General features: G+C 39.4%; 1 long non-coding RNA gene across 1 annotated transcript in view; it reads left to right on the plus strand.

The window, feature by feature from the left end:
* LOC105374958 (uncharacterized) overlaps positions 1-19,554 on the plus strand; it is a 119,161-nt gene that overhangs the window by 45,303 nt on the left and 54,304 nt on the right. The window contains exon 3 of the long non-coding RNA XR_001744010.1: positions 3,211-3,372. This is a non-coding gene — a long non-coding RNA (uncharacterized LOC105374958). The remainder of the gene's footprint in view (positions 1-3,210; positions 3,373-19,554) is intronic.

Consider the following 19,554-nt stretch of genomic DNA (forward strand, 5'->3'; position numbering starts at 1 on the left):
AAATGGAGATACACACCCCACATGCTTGTATTCTCCTCGGGGATCTTCTCTATTCCCCTTTTCTCATACCTGCTTCAACTTCGAGCCTTTTGGGTTTTATTGAAATACTCTTGACATTTATGCTTGGACACTTGAAAAGTTTTTTCTCTTTACACTATTAAGCATTTTGTTGATTGACTTTGGCCTTTGTGCTTTCTCCAAATCTGTTCTTTTCCTTACCTTTCTCACTCTTCAGGGTATTTCCGGTCTAAATATTGGCCAAATAATTCTCTACGCTATAATTTATAAAATATTTCCTCTTGGGTCAGGAAAATAAGAGGTTTTATTGCAGTTCAGTTCCAAAAGTAGTAGACAGAGACTGGGTGTTTAAACAGGGCCTGAAGCAAGGTTTTGCCAACCTTTCAGAGGCTGCATAACAAATATTTTTTATTTGCTCCGTCAGGTGTTGGAGTTAGCTATAGCCTCCTGAAGGTCATCTCTGAGCCTTCACTCCCTGTTACTCACACCAACCTTTATGAGTCCCCTATGAAAATAAAATCACCCTAGGAGGGATCATACTAAGCTATAATCAGTTAATACCTTGCTTTTCAATTAACACTCTAGCAGGGATTATTTGAAAGTCGTCTGAGAACAGAAATAGAGGTAGGCTGGCACTTGGAAAGCCTGGTTAGAATAAGAAGAAAGAAAGAAAAAGACAGGAAATCTTTACAATTTTGTTTAAAACTGGTAGGTGGCCCAGGCACTCCAAATCACTTGGGCTGTCTCAGTTTTCCAACCTGTGGTTTAAAGGCACGTGATTGTGAAAATTTGGCTTTTAAGGAGAATCAGGGTCTTCTTGAAGAAACAAACAAATCCAGCAGATCATCCACCTACTCCCTGTTGTTACATATGGTATTATGCCCCTACCAGTGTATGACTACAGTGTATAGAAAGAGAGAGACAGAGACAGAGAGAGAAATGTCTTAACAATCCCCATGCTATCCTTTATTTGCTTTGTGTTCTTTGTGTTTATTGCCAACATAACTTAAAGGTAAGGGGTGCTTAAGTCAACAATATTGATGTGATGGTTGCTACTCTAGTGAGCTACTGGGACAGACCTCATGAGATAAATTACACTCATGAGATACATTCATGTTAGGATTAGGATTTTGAGCCTAGTCCTAACATAAAAAGAGCAGCATCTCCTCTCCAAAAGGACAAAAGCAAGTTGGTTGCTGTAATTTCAGGTAGTTCCTTGTGTGGTTATATTGTACAATCTACCTCTCCACATCTGCCTGATTAATGATTTTTGTTTACTTAATTTTAATACAATAGTACAAAAGAATATATGTGACATATGTATGTTTGTATGTATGTATATATATGTATATGTAAGTCAGGGGTCCTCGACTCCCAGGCCATGGATGGGTACTGGTACTGGTACTGGTTGCTGTTAGAAACTGACATAGCAGGAGGTGAGCAGTGGGTGAGCAGAGCTTCATCTGTATTTACAGCCACTTCCCATTGATTGAATTAACACCTGAGCTCCGCCTCCTGTCAGATCAGCAGTGGCATTAGATTCTCATAGGTGCGTGAACCCTACTGTGAACTGCACATTCAAGGGATCTAGGTTGCCTGCTCTTTATGAGAATCTAATGCCTGATGATCTGTCACTGTCTCCCATCACCCTCAGATGGGACTGTCTAGTTGCAAAAAACAAAAACAAACAGAAAAAAACAAGCTCAGGGCTCCCACTGATTTTACATTATGGTGAGTTGTATAATTATTTCATTAAGTGTTGTAATAGAAATAAAGTGTACAATAAATGTATTAATAATACCCTTGCATCCCCAAATTGTCCCTAATATCCCTGTTCTGTGGAAAAATTGTCTTCCATGAAACCTGCCCCTGGTGCCAAAAAGTTGGGAACTGCTGATGTAAGTTATAAAGTGTGATAGTGTAATGAGCAACTGTGAACCTATCATCCAATCGAAATATTCGAACATGGTTGCAATGCTTCCCTGTATTTATCCCCTGCTTCCATGCTGAAATATTCCCCTCATTTTGCACAAACAGTAACCAGTACTTTGAATTTTGTGTAATTATTGCTTACTCTACTTTTATACTCTTGTCATTTGCTTGTTGGTAGGCCTAAATAACAGATTTTTTCAGTTGTGCTTCTTTTTGAGCAGTTCATTAAACTTATTACATGGGATATCTTCTTATGAAATTTATTGTTTTTCACTTTGCATCATGGTTGTCTGTAGCTATCGTTCAATCGCGTGTTCCATGGAATAGCTATGTCACAACTGATTTATCTATTCTCCTGTTAAAGGAGAATTATGGCTTCCAGTTAGCTGTTGCTGTCATGAGTATACTCTTCTACATCTCCTATTGCACATCTATGCAAGTGTCACTGACACATATACCTAGGACAGAGTTTCTCAACCTCAGCAGTACTGATGTGTGGAGCCGGATAGCTCTTTGTTGTGGGAAACCGTCCTATGCATCGTAACAGGTTTAACAGCATCCCTGGCCTCTACCCACTAGATGTCAGTAGTGTCTCCAAGTTGTGACAACCAAAAATGTCTCCAGACGTTGCCAAAGGTATTCCAGGGGTCAAAATCACTTACCTAGAAATACAGCTGCTGGGTAGAGACAACATGTAAGTATTCACTTTCACAAGAGAAAGCCCAGTTGTTTTCCAAAGTGATTGTAACCACTTAGTGCCTACTGGCTTTCCCATTGATTCACTTCTTCTCTGATACTGGGTATTGTCAGATCTTCTAATCTGAGATAATTAAATAGGTGTAAAACTGTATCTTATTATGGTCATAACTTGTATTTCCTTGATTATTAGCTAGGTTGAGCACCTCATTATATCTGTTTTGGCCATGCTTCTTTCTCTTAACAGTGTTTTGGCTTTTGCCTGTTTTTCCGTTGGGTTGTCTGTTATTGATTTGTAGAAATTATGTATGTATTCTGGAATATATTAATCCTTTGTTGTTAAGTGACTTGTAAATATCTCCCTTTGTTTGCCATTTATTTTTCTTATTCTCTGATGGTGTATTTGCTGAACACAATTTTTAATTTTAATTAAAATATAAAAATTTAAGTTAAATACTACAATCTTAATTTAAATATTAAAATATGATAGGATTTTTTTTTATGGTTAACCTTTTTTACCCCAAGATTACAAAGGAATTTGCCCCTATTTTCATTTCTGGTTAGGACATGAAAAGAATAGCTCCTTCCTGACTTACTCTCTCTTGGATCAATTACTGTGATGGAAACCAGCTGCCATGTCAGGAGTACACTCAGCTGGCCTAATGGGAGGCCCACACAGAGAGGCACTGAGGTCGCCAATCAATAACCAACACCAATACAGCGCAGGTGAGTGGGTACTTTTGGAATTGGATCCTCCAGCACTCATGAAGCCTTCAAATGACCGTAAGTTTATGAGAAACCCTCATTTAAACCTAATACCCAATGTTATAGCATTAAGAGGTAGAACCTTTTGGAAAGTGATTAGGTTATGAGTGCTTTGCCCTCATGAATGGGATCAGTGCCCTTATGAAAAACATTGACCCACTCCCCAAATTCTAGGTTCTCCTATTCTGACCCTCAGAAAATGGCAGGGATAATGAATATTTATAGTCATTTCATAAAACTTTAAGTTTTAGAGTAATTTGCTATTCTGCAATAGATAACTAATACAGCTTCCTTTCTACTTTGCTAATGATCTTTGATTGTGAGCACATTACTTGATCTCTTTGGTGGAAATCCTGCAGCTCAAAAATTGAGAAGGCTTTCTTTCAGTCTGGGTATGCTTTCTGACTATGGCTTCTGTCATTAATAAACTTCTGTTTATCTTGGGTCAGTTCAAGAATTCTAGACTCAGATTCTCTAATATTTGCTCAAGACTTAGTAACCAACAGCATTGCTACTCTCCTGATCTACCCTTAGGTCACCCTGTTCCTCCTGACCCCTGATTGTTCTGATCCCAGTTCTTCACTGCAGTTCATATGGCAGGAATTTGGGGAGAAGGTTTGAAAATCTCCACCAATTTAAAGGCAAACAATGCTTTGAAGACTTTGTCCTATGTAATAGATAGTAACAGGAGGTTTTCAGAGCACCTAGTCAGCCATAGTGCTAAAAGCAGATAGCCAAAAAGATTTTCCCAAGGCCTTCTCATCTAGAGGAATGGAGCAGACAGCTTCTTTTCAATACATGGGCATTTGATATATGTTATCCAGGGCTTGTGGCACCATATGATGAAGTTGAAACCCTTCTTTTAAGCAACCATTGACCTACTGATGGACAAAAACAAACTGGTTTAGATGTCCCTTCAACATGAGGGTCCACAAATTAGACCTATATCTTCAGCCTTCTCAGATAACACATGCTAAATTATTTAGCTTGCTAAGTGCCAAAAATTCAAACCTCTAATCAGTGTCAGTTTTCCCAAGGCAGAATTTCTGGAAACTACTGACCTGGAAATATGATGGGAATGAGGATGGCCTCTGGCAATAACTCTCTTGCCTCTCTACATCTCAGTTACCAAATGTATAAAATGTAGACATGGTTTGAGATGACTGTCAAAATCTTTTCCAGCTCCCACAATTTTTAAAATATCTATAGATAATGTCCATTACCAGTAAAAAAAAAAAAAAAAAAAAAAAAAGATATATCAAATAGACCCCTCCTAGCTATCAAGCTGCTGAGGTGGTCAAGAAAGAATAAAATTATTTCCAAATTGCCAGTTATCAAGTCCACATTTCTTACTCACAGCCTTGAAGACCCTCTCGTTTTCTCTAAAAAGGCCTCAGATATAGCAGCACTTTTCAAATACTTGCTGCTGTGGTGTGAATGATACTGTCCCCCATAAACCTCATATATTGAAACCTAATACCCAATGTTATAGCATTAAGAGGTAGAACCTTTTGGAGAGTGATTAGGTTACGACTGCTTTGCCCTCATGAATGGGATTAATGCCCTTAGGAAAAACGTTGAAGGGAGTGCCCCTGCTCCTTCTGCCATGTGAACATGTAGCACCAAGGCACTATCTTTATTTAGAAACAAGGTCTCACTCTGTTGCCCAGGCTGGAGTGCAGTGGTGCTATCATAGCTCATTGCAGCCTTGAACTCCTGGGCTCAAGGGATCCTCCTGTCTCAGCCTCCTGAGGAGCTAGGGCTACAGGCATGTTCTATTATGTCTGGCTATATATTTTTTTACATTTTATTTTTTGTAGAGATAGGATCTTGATATATTGCCCAGGCTGGTCTCGAACTCCTGGCCTCAAGTAATCCTCCTGCCTTAGCCTCCCAAAGTGCTGGGATCACAAGCATGAGCCACCACACCTGGCCAAGGCTCCATCATTAAAGCAGAGAGCCCTCACCAGACACCAAAACTGCTAGCATTTTCATCTTGTACTTCCAGCTTCTAGAACTATGAGAAATACATTTCTGTCGCTTATAAATTACCCAGTTTAAGATGTTTTGTTATAACTTGAATAGGCTAAAACACTTAGTTATTAGTTAGCACATTAACAGGGAGGCACTTAAAGCTGTCAGAGACAACAGGAATGAGACTCTTGAGTAAGATAAGGGGCAAAAAGGTAGCATTAAAAGAAGTGAGAAGACAGCAAGTCAAACTTTGCTAAATTACTATTTTGCTCAGGGGCCAGCCCTGCTTTCAGAAAGGACTTTATACTCATTTAAAATACTGGTTTTGTATGCATGCACATGTATGTATAAATATTTGTATATTATGTATTCACAAGCAGGAAGAATCCATTGACAATCTGGAGGTTGTTTTGTCAGAGAACTTCTTCAGTGGAATCATGGTTTCTTCTTATCCTTTCTAAGCAAAGGGTATTTTTTGCAAAATGAAGGTGAGGAAGCAACTGGGATTTAGGTCTGCTGAGAAAGGCTTTGTCTTCACTTGCCTGGGTGAGTCATTCTTAAGCTGCTCCCACCTCCACCTGTCCCCCACCACGCTCTCAACTGTTGCCTGTGCTGTGATCTTGACCTTGAGCGCATTCCCTTGAGCGTACCTTGCAGCCCACTCTAAGGGTTGGTGACAAACTGAAAGACAACCATGCACCTCTTACACTCTGTGGTTTCCTTTGTCATGTCACTCATATACTGAATGCATTTCTGATGACTTGTTCAATTAAATGTACCTTCATTTATCTGGTGGCATTTTCTCATAAAATTCACAAATTCCCTTAATTTTGCTGCTTCCCGCATCAAAAACAGAAAGTTGAAGAAAGATTGTAAGGAAGGTTTCACATTAAGGATTCTGGTGACAACAGCCTGGTGATTTTTCAGTCAATCAGGATTTCTTTTAGGAAATATAAAGTAGGTGGATAATTATTTAGTTGAGCTTAAAATGTTTCTTCTGCATGAGTTCCAGAGAAAATGAAGATGCTTTTGTTATTAGCAAAGTAATGAAAGGAGGGCCTGAGGTTCTAGAGGTAGGGGAATTCGAGAGGAGGTGGAATTGAGGGAGAGTTTTTCAATTGTGGTGTTAAGGGAAGGGGGAAATGAAGGAAAGAGAAAGGGAGTAAGTGGCTTTTTAAAACAAAACCTGGAGCATTATGTGCCAAGGAAACTAAAATTGACTGAAGAAAGCTAAGTCTAAAGTTGCCATTAGAAATCGTGAATTCAAAATTCATAATTATAGCAAGTTTGATTTGTTCTTCTAATGAACTATTGAATATCTCATGCCATGGAAATGGTCTTTGATTAAATGAGAGATTTTTTTTTTTTTTTTTTTTTTTTTTAAGACAGAGTCTCACTCTGTTGCCCAGGCTGGAATGCAATGGCGTGATCTCAGCTCACTGCAACCTCCGCCTCCCGGATTCATGAGATTCCCCTGCCTCAGCCTCCTGAGTAGCTGGGATTACAGGCGTACACTGCCACGCCCAGCTAATTTTTGTATTTTTAGTAGAGGCAGGGTTTCACCATGTTGGTCGGGCTGGTCTCAAACCCCTGACCTTGTGATCCACCTGTCTCGGCCTCCCAAAGTGCTGGGATTACAGGTATGAGCCACCGCACTTGGCCTAAATGAGATATTATTAAATGGCAGGAAAATAGTTACATGTACCATCGGGTATACATCTCATTGGGTATTTGCCTGACTATCAAACCCTGGATTCAAGTCTTTCTTTCTAGGCAAACCCTTGACTCACTGGGAAGAGATGCTATGATTCAGGCATGTGAGTATAGAAAATTAAAGTAACATATTTGTTGAGGTAAATTAGCTATCTCTAACATAGGAAGGAGACATTTGTCATTTGATGATGACATATATTCTCCTAGGTCTCTTTTTAGTATTAATATTAGAACAGAATTATAAAATGTTGACACTGGAACAAACCAGCCCATCTGGTTTTTAAGGTTGATTGATTTCCCCAATTTTTGTGTTACTGTATACTTACAAATCTTTAGTTCTTAGTTTATTTATAAGTTGGTGAAGACTAGAGTAGATTAAGTCTTAGGTCCTTCCACATTCTATAATTCATGTGTTATCTAACATATTTAATTGTGTTCAAGACACACATCTTTTTCACATTTTAGTGTCTCTAAAATTGAAGTGTGTCTTACAATCAATATTTCTTAGTTACTGTCACAGAATTGTTATTTATCGGGTTTTCCTTTACTATTTTGAAGGTACATAAAATAATGGTGCATTTTACAATGAACGCTATCTTAGCTTTGATGAAATATGCTGTGTAATTGATAACTGCGCCCCAAAGATACCAAACTCAGATAATGGCATCATCCATCAGCCAATCATATCAAAACCAACTTAGTTCATATTCCTGGGCATCTTTGAGAGGTGAATGGCATTTCAATTCCAGAAAAGGATTTAGTTGATGTAGGTTCCATAAATAAATTCTTTTTATATTTCTCTGGACATCTACTTTGGAGATATCCATTCCTCTTTATCTGAAACTGTTTTCTTTTCCGAAGTTTTGACCAAAAGTCAATACATTCAGTGCCCGGATATTCTGGTATAGGAGTGTAAAATAAGCAATTAGAAAGATAGTTCTTTCCTTATAGCTAAATATGTCTGTTTAATAGTTAATTCAAAAAGAATTTTTTGAATTTCCATGTATTATGCTATCAACTAAGATAATAAACTGGAAGCAATATATATCTTCATGGAATAGGTTGTTAAACAATGCAGTGCAAAAAGGACTGCATTGGGGTAAATGGAAGAAATTGCACAGAAAATCTTAAGTCATGAGAAAAGGCTTTCTGTAGAAGGAGATAGCTGAGGACTGAAAGACAAGTAGGCTTAGCCAAGTGAATTATATGGAAAGAAGAGAAGGGCATTCTAAGGAAAGAAAGCAGAGTGTTCAATGACCCATGATTCAAAAGAAAAAGCAACCCATTAGGCTAAGGGAACTAAATCTTGTACACACTGGCTAGACACTCATAAGGACATCAAGTTTTCTTTCTTTTTCTTTTTTCTTTTTTCTTTTTTTTTTTTTTTGAGACAGAGTCTTACTCAGTCTGTTGCCCAGGCTGGAATGCAGTGGCATGATCTTGGCTCACTGAAACCTCTGCCTCCTGGTTTCAATTGATTCTCTTGCCTCAGCCTCCCAAGTAGCTGGGATTATAGGCACCCACCACCACGCCTGGCTAATTTTGGTAATTTTTGTAGAGACAGGGTTTCACCATGTTGGCCAGGCTGGTCTCGGACTCCTGACCTCAAATGATTCACCCGCCTTGGCTTCCCAAAGTGCTGGGATTACAGACATGAGCCACCATGCCCTGCCCAACATCAAGTTTTCTAAATCAGTCCTTCCATTTAAAAGCATTTCATCTAATCTGAGCTAAACTCTGCACAAAGCATGAGAAAATTGCAAGTAGACTATTGTCTTGACCACATAAAGCTTGAAATTTCAAAATAGGATTACATAAAAATAATCAGATAATAATACAGTTCTGAAGAAGCCACCAAGGACTTTTTGGTTCTCTCACAGATCTTGAAACTAATAATATTTTTTTACAAAAAAACTCATCTCTTTAATGTTCACATCTATTGTTCCTTCTCTTTCCCAATCTCAGTGAATAGCCATACCCTGACAACCAAACCGCAAATCTCAAAATCATATTCATTTGTTCAATAACACTCTCCAAATATAATCCATCATCTAGTTTTCTTTCTTGTTCACCTCATTTTTTAGCTATGCTAATATCAGACAAAATGGACTTTAGAACAAAATTTGTTGCTAGAGAAAAAGGACATTTTATGATAATAAAATCATGTGCACCTAATAAGAGGGCCCCAAAATACATGAAGCATAACCTGACAGAACTGAAAGGAGAAATAGACAGTGAGTGATAACCGGGAAGAAGCTACAAATGAGGATATTCTAATGGATTTCTGTTATCTTTGTTTTAATATCTTTGGGTTGTTCAATATTCCCTCTTCTTAATAGAACCCCTATTTTGGGGGAACTCATTTCTCATGGTTTATGTGAGGCTGACCCTAATTTTCTGACCACAGGAATGGGCATATGATGTACATTTCACCAATTAGAATACCACAGGCTCTAGAGTTAAGACAGAATCCAAGACAGGTCAGTTAGAGAACTCAATGGAAATTTACTGCTATGGTACCCCACTTTTTTTATGTGTGCAAGATTTATTAAGCTGGCATGGTATGATCCATCATGCCTACAACTGAGAAAGAATATGCATGCAAAATTAAGCCAAGCAGAGACAAATGGATTTCAAATAACAAGAAAGCCAGGGCCTTGATAACATTATTTTGAGGTCCTGGATTATTCCTGAATCTAAAATACCTGTAGACATCTTTGTTATGTGAGCTCTTTTGCTTAAGCCTATTTGAGTTAGGATTTCATCACTTGCAACTGGAAGAGACATAAACAAAAAAGCAGCAGTTAACAATAAAAGTGTATCAGTAAACTAGGTATTTGTAAACATGTATAACTAGTTATTGAGCAGGGATATACACATTAAATGTCTTTATTTTTCTCTAATCCCTGTTTTCTGACCTGACTGGTCATATCTTTCTTTCCTTCATCTGATTTCCTGAGACGATTCCACAGTTTCCTAGAAATGTTCAATTATAAGAATGTTTAGATACATATAACACTTTCAGGAAGTAAAATTTCTGGATAAGGTTAAGCCAAAATTCCAGTCTCACTTCTGATTTGATTTGAATATCTTTCTTCTCACAGCTCAAGCCAGACCCATGGCTCTGGGCCTGTAGTAGGGGAGGGGCCATGTTCTCAACTTTCAGATTTCCTTCTTAGCCTTTCAAGCCTTTATTTAGCTGCTGTTTTTTGTAGTTCTTTCTTGGCTGATAGTAAATGCCTAGTGTGTTCTCCATTAGAGCAGGCTTCTAAATACTGCTCTGTCATGGATAACTTTTCTTTTTTCTCCCTTTATTTTCCTTTTGAGTTCTTCAGCCAATATCTCTAAACATTGTTCACTGAGATTGTTCCAGGTTATTATTTGATGACATGGGTAATGTGCTTTCCAGCTGACCTGGAGTGACATCCTTTCAGTCTTTGTCCACAGGGATCCATCCTGTTAGCATCCACTCACCCCCAGCACTTTTTAAAGTAGGATCCCATAGAGACAGCCTAAGCTCACTTGGACTAAAGGAAACTCATGCCTCATTTCCATGCCAGACTCTGGGTAGTCTGCTGCCCCCAGGCTCCACTCTCCCTTCCTTGTCTTGCCATGGAAGACAGCTCCAGCCAGCCTTTTATCTTCTGATTTTTTCCACTTTGGCAGCAGACACCAGTATCTATTTTTATGTACACTGTCAAACTTCAGGGGACACAAATAAATTCCTCCTAAATGTCAAGTGCTCCCAAGGCCTCCCTCATCAAACTCTGATGTACTGACTAAACCTAAAACTGTCTGCGAGTTGAAAGTATCCAATTGGAGAGGACAATATGGTGTCTCTTCTTTTGCAGACATCCACAATCTCTACAAAGGTCTCTTTCAGAGCTCCCCTTACTTGGTTAGGTGGGGAGAGCCCTCTTTCCTTTTCTTCATGTGCATTTCCCCCTAGTAACAGCTCTTGTCCCTAGGCAGATAATTCTTTCCAACTTACGTCTCTTTTCAGGAACTCCTGTCCATTGCTTACATTGGATAGATAGAAAAGGTAAGTGGGAGAAGTAAGTTCCAGTTGGATCACCCCTTAGTAAACACTTGAAGGATTGCTGGCTGCTCTTTAGAACACAGAAGCACTTATTGACAGTGGTGGTCCTCAATGTGTTTAATGGCGAGTGTGTTTAATGGCTCCTATGGCAGGTCATTAGATGGATTCAGACCATAATGTTGAAACAGTATTCTGTAAAGGCCTTGATGATCTAGAATTTAATCTTTTAGTTTCTGAGCCATTAGGAAATCAAGGGGTTCCAGGTAAGAGGCTAAGGCAGTAGAATGGTGGGGCTCAGGGAAGTGGCTACTTATCAGTTCTCTAGAAGTATTTCTATGTTTTAGCAACCAAGTACCTGAGAGCCCTGCCTATTTCCTATTCTCCTCAGGATTATTTGCAAGCCCTTCTCATTAAGAAACAGGGGCAAAGCACAACGTGTACTTGAAAAGAATTGAAGCTTGAGCTAAAATCTCCAGATAATAAAAAAAGTGTTACTCCACATTTTGTTGGAGTCAATGTCCAAGAAATGTTTGATAAACTTAACTGAGTTAAGGTCAGAGCCTTGGGGAGAGGAACTGCTGAAGGAGCAGTAGGCGTAAAAGGAGAAGGAAATCAGGAGAATGTGATGAACAGAAAACAAGAGTTGTATGAAAAGTAGACCATTTGCAGCATGGAAGACAAAGACACTGAAGGTGAAGGAAACATCCTTATTTTTATTGATGGCCTTCATAAGAAAATTCTTAGAATGGTGGTGAAGCTGAAAGTGAGAAAAGAGAGATAAGAGAGTAGACGAGGTGAGATGAAGAAATAAAAGTGACAGATGCAGGCAATTCAAGTGTGGAGTTATAAGGATGGGAAGAAGTTGGATGGTAGTGAGAAGGGCATATGGAACAAGAAAGCTTGCTCGGAAGTGTTTTGTTTTTGTTTTTCAAACATTTAAGTATGTTTGAAGGCAGAAGAGTAGGAGTTGGTTGGGAATAAATGGCTGTGACTGTGAAGAAAATATAAAGCATAGTCCCTTTGCATCTGGAAGGCCTGAGCTCACAAAGATAGGATTGGCTTTGGGAAAGAGGAATTTCACTTCCCCTCCAAGACTGGATGGCAACTTCTGAGTATTTACCAGGGTGTGAAAAAAGAGTGAGTGTGGGAAAAACTAGTAGCTTGAGCCAGTAAACCCCTATCTTCTGAGTCAAGAGGCAAGAAGATTATTGAGAGTGGCAGAGAGAAAGGAGAGGTCTAGAATATTTTGCAAAGGAGAATTTGCAGAACTGAATTACCAGGCATCAGGGTGGGTTCCAGCTGGAGTCAACACTCCAGCTGTCTGGTGAACAGATCCCCATGCTGTGAGGCTCAGGAAAATAAGCAGAGAGAGAGACAGTGGATTTGCTTTTGGGAAAGGAACTGATATAGCTTAGTGGTTAGGCACAGTTAGGGTGAGGAGAGGACAATAGCACAAAGCTGAGTGGCTATGAGTCCAGGCTGAGGAGAGAATCCAGAGAATGAACAGGATGAAGCCGGGGGTTCTGAATAAAATGGCAGACTCCATTTATATAGGAAGCAGATTGTCTAACCATCAAATGGGAGGAGGGGTTGAAATGTTGTTTATTCTTTGGAAAGAGGACTGGGCTCCATGGATGTTGAGGTCCTGGAAGGCCTTGCTGAATTGTGACTGGTGTGGGAAGTTAGGAAGAACTAAAACTTTTCATTAGCTTGGCTTTTGATCTGAAATAAGTTTTGAAAGAGCTATATGCTGGAGAAATAAAGAGGAGTGGCCCTGGAGTCAGACAATAGTGGAGCCACACGGACATATGCAAATATGTGTGTGTTCCCTTGCTTTTGAAAGCAAACATTTTGTTTTCAGCAAACAGCTTGCATCTTGTGCTTCCTTAATAAAAAAAAAAAAAGTGGGGGAGAAAAGTACATACACAAAACAGCCTGTCACTGCTGGCTTCACAGAGGAGGAAGACAGGCCCTTGAGTGTTTTCCAGTAAGCAGCTCCCTAAGCTGGTTCTCACACGAGAAAGAAACTCAGAGTAACAAAAGGTGCCCGTGAAAGGTTCTTTTAGACTAAAATTTGGTGGAGATTAAAAGAGGGCAAAAGTTCAAATGAGAGGGAGCCACTGCCAAGTAGGCAGAAATCTTAGCCAAGGGGAAGGAAAAGGAGCCACTGGTTTAGAATGCAAGTAACCATGGCGAGCCAACAGCTCAATGCTAGAATCTGGTTAAGAAGTAATATCACACAGAGCTGTGATTGTTTATTCAAAGCAGGCCATGAGAGAACAGTTGTCTCCAATGGGTACTTGCACAGCTTGGATTCAAAATTATAAGTACATTTTTAAAAGCGTCCAGCGCTTCTCCCTGACCCATTTGGTATTAAGCAAAAAAGAAAAGAAAGCACAAAGTTTATTCTCAGTGTCTCTTGTGGGTTTAAGACGGCTTTACATATGGAAAAGCATTTTGGTGTCAGCTGTTGAACTGGTTTCTTGCTATTCTGCTTTCAGTTGCCATTGGAAACTTTGGCTGGCTGTGTGGTAACATCACCCATTTCCCAAGGTTCAGAAACCAATGCCCCTCTAAAGGGAAGCAGAGCATTTCTTTCTTTTCACGTACATGTTGTGCTTTGCCCCTGTTTCTTAGTGAGAAGGGCTTGGAAACAGCTAACGGACTGTGGGAATAAAGATGAAGTATTGAAATGCTTCATCTTGATGAAGCTAAGCATGAAGATAAGCATGATACAATGTAACAAGAGGTTCTGCAGTAGCCAGAAACACAGCTTCACATAAATGCCAAGTCTTCCAACGTAGATTTTCCATTTGCTGTTGTCATCACTATATAGATTGTAGACAGAGGCTGTTATCCTTTCTGTGTAAATGAAATAGTATTACTAGAGAAAGGGCTTTTGGAAGGGAGAGTGGGCTTCTGTTGGTTTTTGAGTCCCTGAAATTTATGCAAAAGCTCCTATATCACTTTGCATGTGCATTTTTTTTTCTGGGGCAATATGTCCATAACTTTCCTCAGATTATTAGAGTGGTCCATTACCCAAAACACATTAAGAACCAAGGAACTGAAGTATCACCAAGTGAGGCACATTGGCTACACTCTCACATATGGAAAGAATGTAACCTAATGGTTTCAATTATGACAATGCAGTAATATGGACAGTGTACTGGGAAAACTTTCTCCCTAGTTAATGGATACAACATGGTCAACGGGAGGAAATTTCCAGGAGAAGATTGACTCTCTGCTGGTTGGCAGCTGGGGGAAGCGGTGTTCAGCTTTAAAAAAGAATGTGTCATGTTGGTGTTCTCTTTTTATATCTTGAGCTATCGAGGAGTTGGAGAGATACAAAGAGAATCTGCTTTGTCAGGAAAGGAAGAGGTGTGCTTCAGAGCTCAACCTGATGATTTCACAGACCAATTTAGAGCAAAAGGGAAGGGCAGCCTCATCACATGGTCTAGTTCAAGGAGGTAGTCTAGCATAGTGTTCTGGCACTTAAAATATATCATCTGGAATCAGACTGCATGGGTTTGAAACCAGGTCCGTTAAGCAGTAGATAGGAAAGTCAGGTGTTAGTTACGTATCATCCCTTTGCCCAAGTTTCCTTATTCTTAAAGTGGAATTACAATAGTACAACCAGTACTTACTGTTTTCATCTGCTTTGGGCCACCATAACAAAATACTAGACTGTGTGGCTTAAACAACAGAAATGTATTTTTTCAAAATTCTGGAGGCTGGGAAGTCCAAGATCAAGGTTCTGGCTAATCTGGCTTTAGGTGAGGGCTCTTTTCTTGTCTTACAGATGGCCACCTTCTCACTGTGTCCTTATATGTCCTTTCTTCAGAGCATGAGGTGCAGAAAGAGAAAACTCTCCAGTGTCTCTTCCTTATAAGGAAATTAGTCGTGTCTGATCAGGACCCCACACTTAGGACTTTATTTAACATTAGTTACTTCCTTACACGCCCCATCTCCAAATACATCCACACTGTGGGATAGGGGACCTACCTATCAATTCAGGGCACAAATATTTCATCTTTAACACTTGTTATTCACAGATTTCATATTTGCAGATTTGTCTGCTCACTACAATTTATTTATAACTCCAAAATCAATACTTGCGGCACTTTCATGGTTATTTGAAGACATGCACAGAGCTGTGAAAAATTTTATTCACCTGATATACATGCTCCCAGCTGAGGTCAAACAAGGCGATGCTCTGCTTTCTGGTTTCAGCTCACATGCTGTAAACACGTGTCCTTTCCACAGTCTAGGTGACGCAACATTTTCACATTTTTGTGCATTTCTGTTGGTGATTTCACCTTCTAAAATGGCCCTAAGTGTAGTGCCAAAGTGCTGTCTGTCTAGTGTTTCTGTGTGCAAGAAGGCTGTGGTGTGTTTTATGGAGAAAATACATGTGTTAGATAAGTTTTATTCAGGCAGGAGTTATAGTGCTGTTGGCCATGAGTTTAATGTAAATAAAACAACATTATATGTTACATGAGGTGTCTTTAAACACAAGCACACATAAAACAGGGTTGTATAGATGTTCAGTTGATGAAAATGCTGTCACCAGGGGCTCAAAGGAACCTGACCATTTATTTTTTCTAGGAGCAGCAGTCCAATTCATTGTTTGTACAGAACATAAGTACTGTGAATAATGAGAATTGATTGACTATGACTCATCAAGCTATTATGAAGATTAAATACATTTTTATTCATAAAGTCCTTACAAGACTGCTGTCCTAGTTTAGGCTGCTATAACAAATACCATAGACAGGGTGGCATAAACAACATTTATTTTCCATTTTTGAGGCAGTGAAATCCAAGATCAAGCTACTAGCTTGACATGGTTTGGATCTGTGTCCCCATGCAAATCTCATGTTGAATTGTAATCCCCAGTGTTGGAGGTGGGGCATGGTGGGAGGTGATTGGATCATGGCGGCAGGTGGTTTCTCATGACTGGTTTAGCACCATCCTCCTAGTGCTGTTCTCGTGATAGAGTTCTCACAAGATGTGGTTGTTTAAAACGGTGTAGCATGCCCCTCCTTCTCTCTTGCTCCTGCTCCAGCTGTGTAAGACAGGTCTGCTTCCCCTTTGCCTTCCACCATGATTGGAAAGTTCCTGAGGCCTCCGCAGAAGCTGAAACAACTGTGCTTCCTGTGTAACCTCCAGAACCAGGAGCCAATTAAGCCTCTTTTCTTTATAAATTACCCAGTCTAGATTTCTTTATAGCAGTGTGAGAACAAACTAACACTTGGCTGATTCGTTTCCTTGTGAAGACCTGCTTCCAGGTTTGCAGATGGGTGACTTCTTGCTGTATTCTTACATGGTAGAGAAAGAGAAAGATCCTCTCTCTCATATCTCTTTAAGAGACAGGAATCCCATTCATGAGGGCTCCATCCTCATGACCTAATTACCTCCTGAAGGCCCCACCTCCTAATGTCGTCATATTGGGAATTAGGGCTTCAATACATGAATTTTGGGAAATAAGCATTCAGTCCATAGCAACTGCCTAACTCACAGTAAATGCTCAATATATGCCCTCTATTATTATTTTCTCAGTACTAGAACAGTAAAAGATCCCTCCACAGTTGGAAACAACAACACAAGATATTAAATAACACTCACTGAAAGTGTTATATAGTTAGGCTTTATAGTCAAGCAGAAAAAAAAATATATTTACTGCTATGTATTGTCTACCCTGCCATTTATAGGGTAGGGTAGACAGAAATATCCAAAAGTGCTTAAATTTTAGCAGTGGATTATGGCTTAACTTGTATTAATTAGTTTACTCATTCTTCATTTACATCATCTGTAAAACATTTACTCTGCATATTCATGTTGTGAAATAAATGCTGTGGGCATACTAATATGAATAAATCTTGTATATAACTAACTAAATAAATAAAGATATGGGATAAGCAGTGACTTGATGGAAAGGTAAAGAAGATACTAAAGGAATGTAGAGATGGGATAAATTCCCTGAGAGTTCTCTCAGCATTTTCCTGAGAACTTCCTGGTCTTAAAGCCAAGCTGATGTTTGTGATAAAATAGGAGGGAAGCAGCAGCTTCAGTAAGGCCCATGGGCAAGGACCAGGTTGGCCATGATGATCTGTTAGGACTCCATCCCCTGCATTGATTCAACTATAACACTATCATCAATTTTTTGGTTAAGAGCTTAGATGCTGACGCCAAGTCTGGCTGTTTTCAAGTTTCAATATTTCCTACTACCAACTCTGACCTTGAGCAAGTTCCTTAATTTCTCTGTGACCCAGTTTCCTTAATATATAAAATGAGGGTGATGATAGTGCCTTCTAGCATTTCTAGATTAAATGTTTCACAAGCACCCTAGAACTGTGTCTGGTACATGACATACTTTACTTCAATATTTAACAAATAATTAAGTGACCTGAATGTCCCACACCAGACACAAAGTAGTAGTCAGATAACGTAATTAACAATCAATTGTTGAATGAATAAGTGAAAAGTAAAAGACCCTGGAAAATGCTAGGAGGAAAGAAAATATGAAGGCATGACTTAAAAAGAGCTAATTTGATAGTTAAGATACTTTAGATTGCTGCTGCCTTGCATGAAAGCTTCTAATGAGCTGACTTGGTTAATATTTAAAAGTCCAAACTTTATGGCATGGCATATTGACAAGAAAAGGACAGGGTTTGTGGCAGCAACATATAAACCCCCAAATCTCAATGGTTTGGAAACAAAAGCGTGTTTCTTTCTCTAGCACATTCTGATGAAAGAGTTCTCATCTATTTGATCACTGAGAAATTCGGGCTGAGTTTATCTTGTGATACTATCATCTCATGTCACCCTGTGTGTGAAGAGAAGAATGGAGAAGGGAAATTGATTCTTAGTTGCCATGGCCTAGATGTGACATATGTCATTTCTGCTCAGAGTCCATTCCTCAGCACTGTCGTGTTCCAAAGGCAGCTGAGGGCTGGAAAATGTAGGGCACATATGGATATGCAATGAACAGCTTTCTCAGCCCCATATGGCATGCAAGGACCTCAGTAATCTGTGAGTGGCTATTTCCACCTATCTTTCAAACCCAGTGAAGGTCTGAGGTCTCATGACACTGACAAATAATCACTCTATGTATGGAACAGGCTTTCATCACATGAAGTCTGGTAATGATACTTGCTAGGTGCTGGCTCTATGGGAGTGACAAATACAGGATATAGCTTCTGCCTTTGAGGAACTTACAGTATGGTAAAGGAAATGCGAAGGTAAGAGTAGAAGGCAATGTAGAATCAATTGCAACTGAGTGCCAGAGATAAGCTAGCTTGGTTTTAGTACAAGGACCTTGAGGTCTGGAATCAGGCAGCCCCGGGCCCCAAAGTTCACTACTTGCATTATCTTAAGCAAGTCACTTAATCTCTAACTGTGTTTGTGTGTGTGTGTGTGTGTGTGTGTGTGTGTGTACACACACACACACACACACATACACATGTATACAGGGTGAGAATCCAAAAATCTGATATTGAAAATGCTCCCAAATCCAATATTATTTAAGTGGTGACATGATACCACGGTGGAAAATTCTACACATAAGCACTCAACACAATTTTGTTTCAGGCACAAAATTAATACAAATGTATAAAATTATCTTCAGGCTATGTGTAGAAAGTATAAAAACCATAAATGAATTTTGTGTTTAGACTTACGTCCTTTTCCCAAGACATATATCTACAAATATTCTAAAATACGGAAGAAAAGTACAAATCCAAAACACTTCTGGTCCCAAGCATTTCAGATAAGGAATACTCAATCTGTATGTATCCTTAAGACTCAATAACTCAAGAAGTAGTAGCTACTGTTATTTTTAATAAAAGACATCCTTGATAAGAAATAGATTTTTTTTTCAGACATGGGATAAAATAGGACATTATCCCAGTTACCCTTTTTAAACCTCTGTTGAACAGCAGCCCAAAAGCAAAGGTAAAGATATTATTCATCTAGTCTGAAAGAATTTCTTCTAGATTATCTGGTTGATAGGTATCTCTCCTAAGTGGCTCGTCACTCACTCTCCCTTGGTGGAAACACAGACCGTGATAACTCAGAACCTAAGCTTAAAAGATGTTTTCTGCTATGTTTCAGGGGAAAACAGGACCACAAAACCTACACCCAGCAAGACTGCAGTAGCATTTGGTTAGGGATACCTCTGCAGTGGTAAGCAGTACTAGATTTATGCCTCACCAGAGGTACTGCCACTGGTACCCACAGTGCCTGTAACACCCTTTCAGAGGCATGCAGTTGGGATGAAGGGGGCACATAAAATATGAAAGTAACCAATGAACTTCTCATTTTAGCAAACACCTCCCCACTTTCTAGCCTCCACATCCTTAGATATGGGGGACTTCCTTTTCCCAAGTCCATCGCTACAGGTTTTCAAATCATAGTTT

Source organism: Homo sapiens, chromosome 6, assembly GCF_000001405.40.
Source record: "Homo sapiens chromosome 6, GRCh38.p14 Primary Assembly".
NCBI classification, from domain to species: Eukaryota; Metazoa; Chordata; class Mammalia; order Primates; family Hominidae; genus Homo; species Homo sapiens.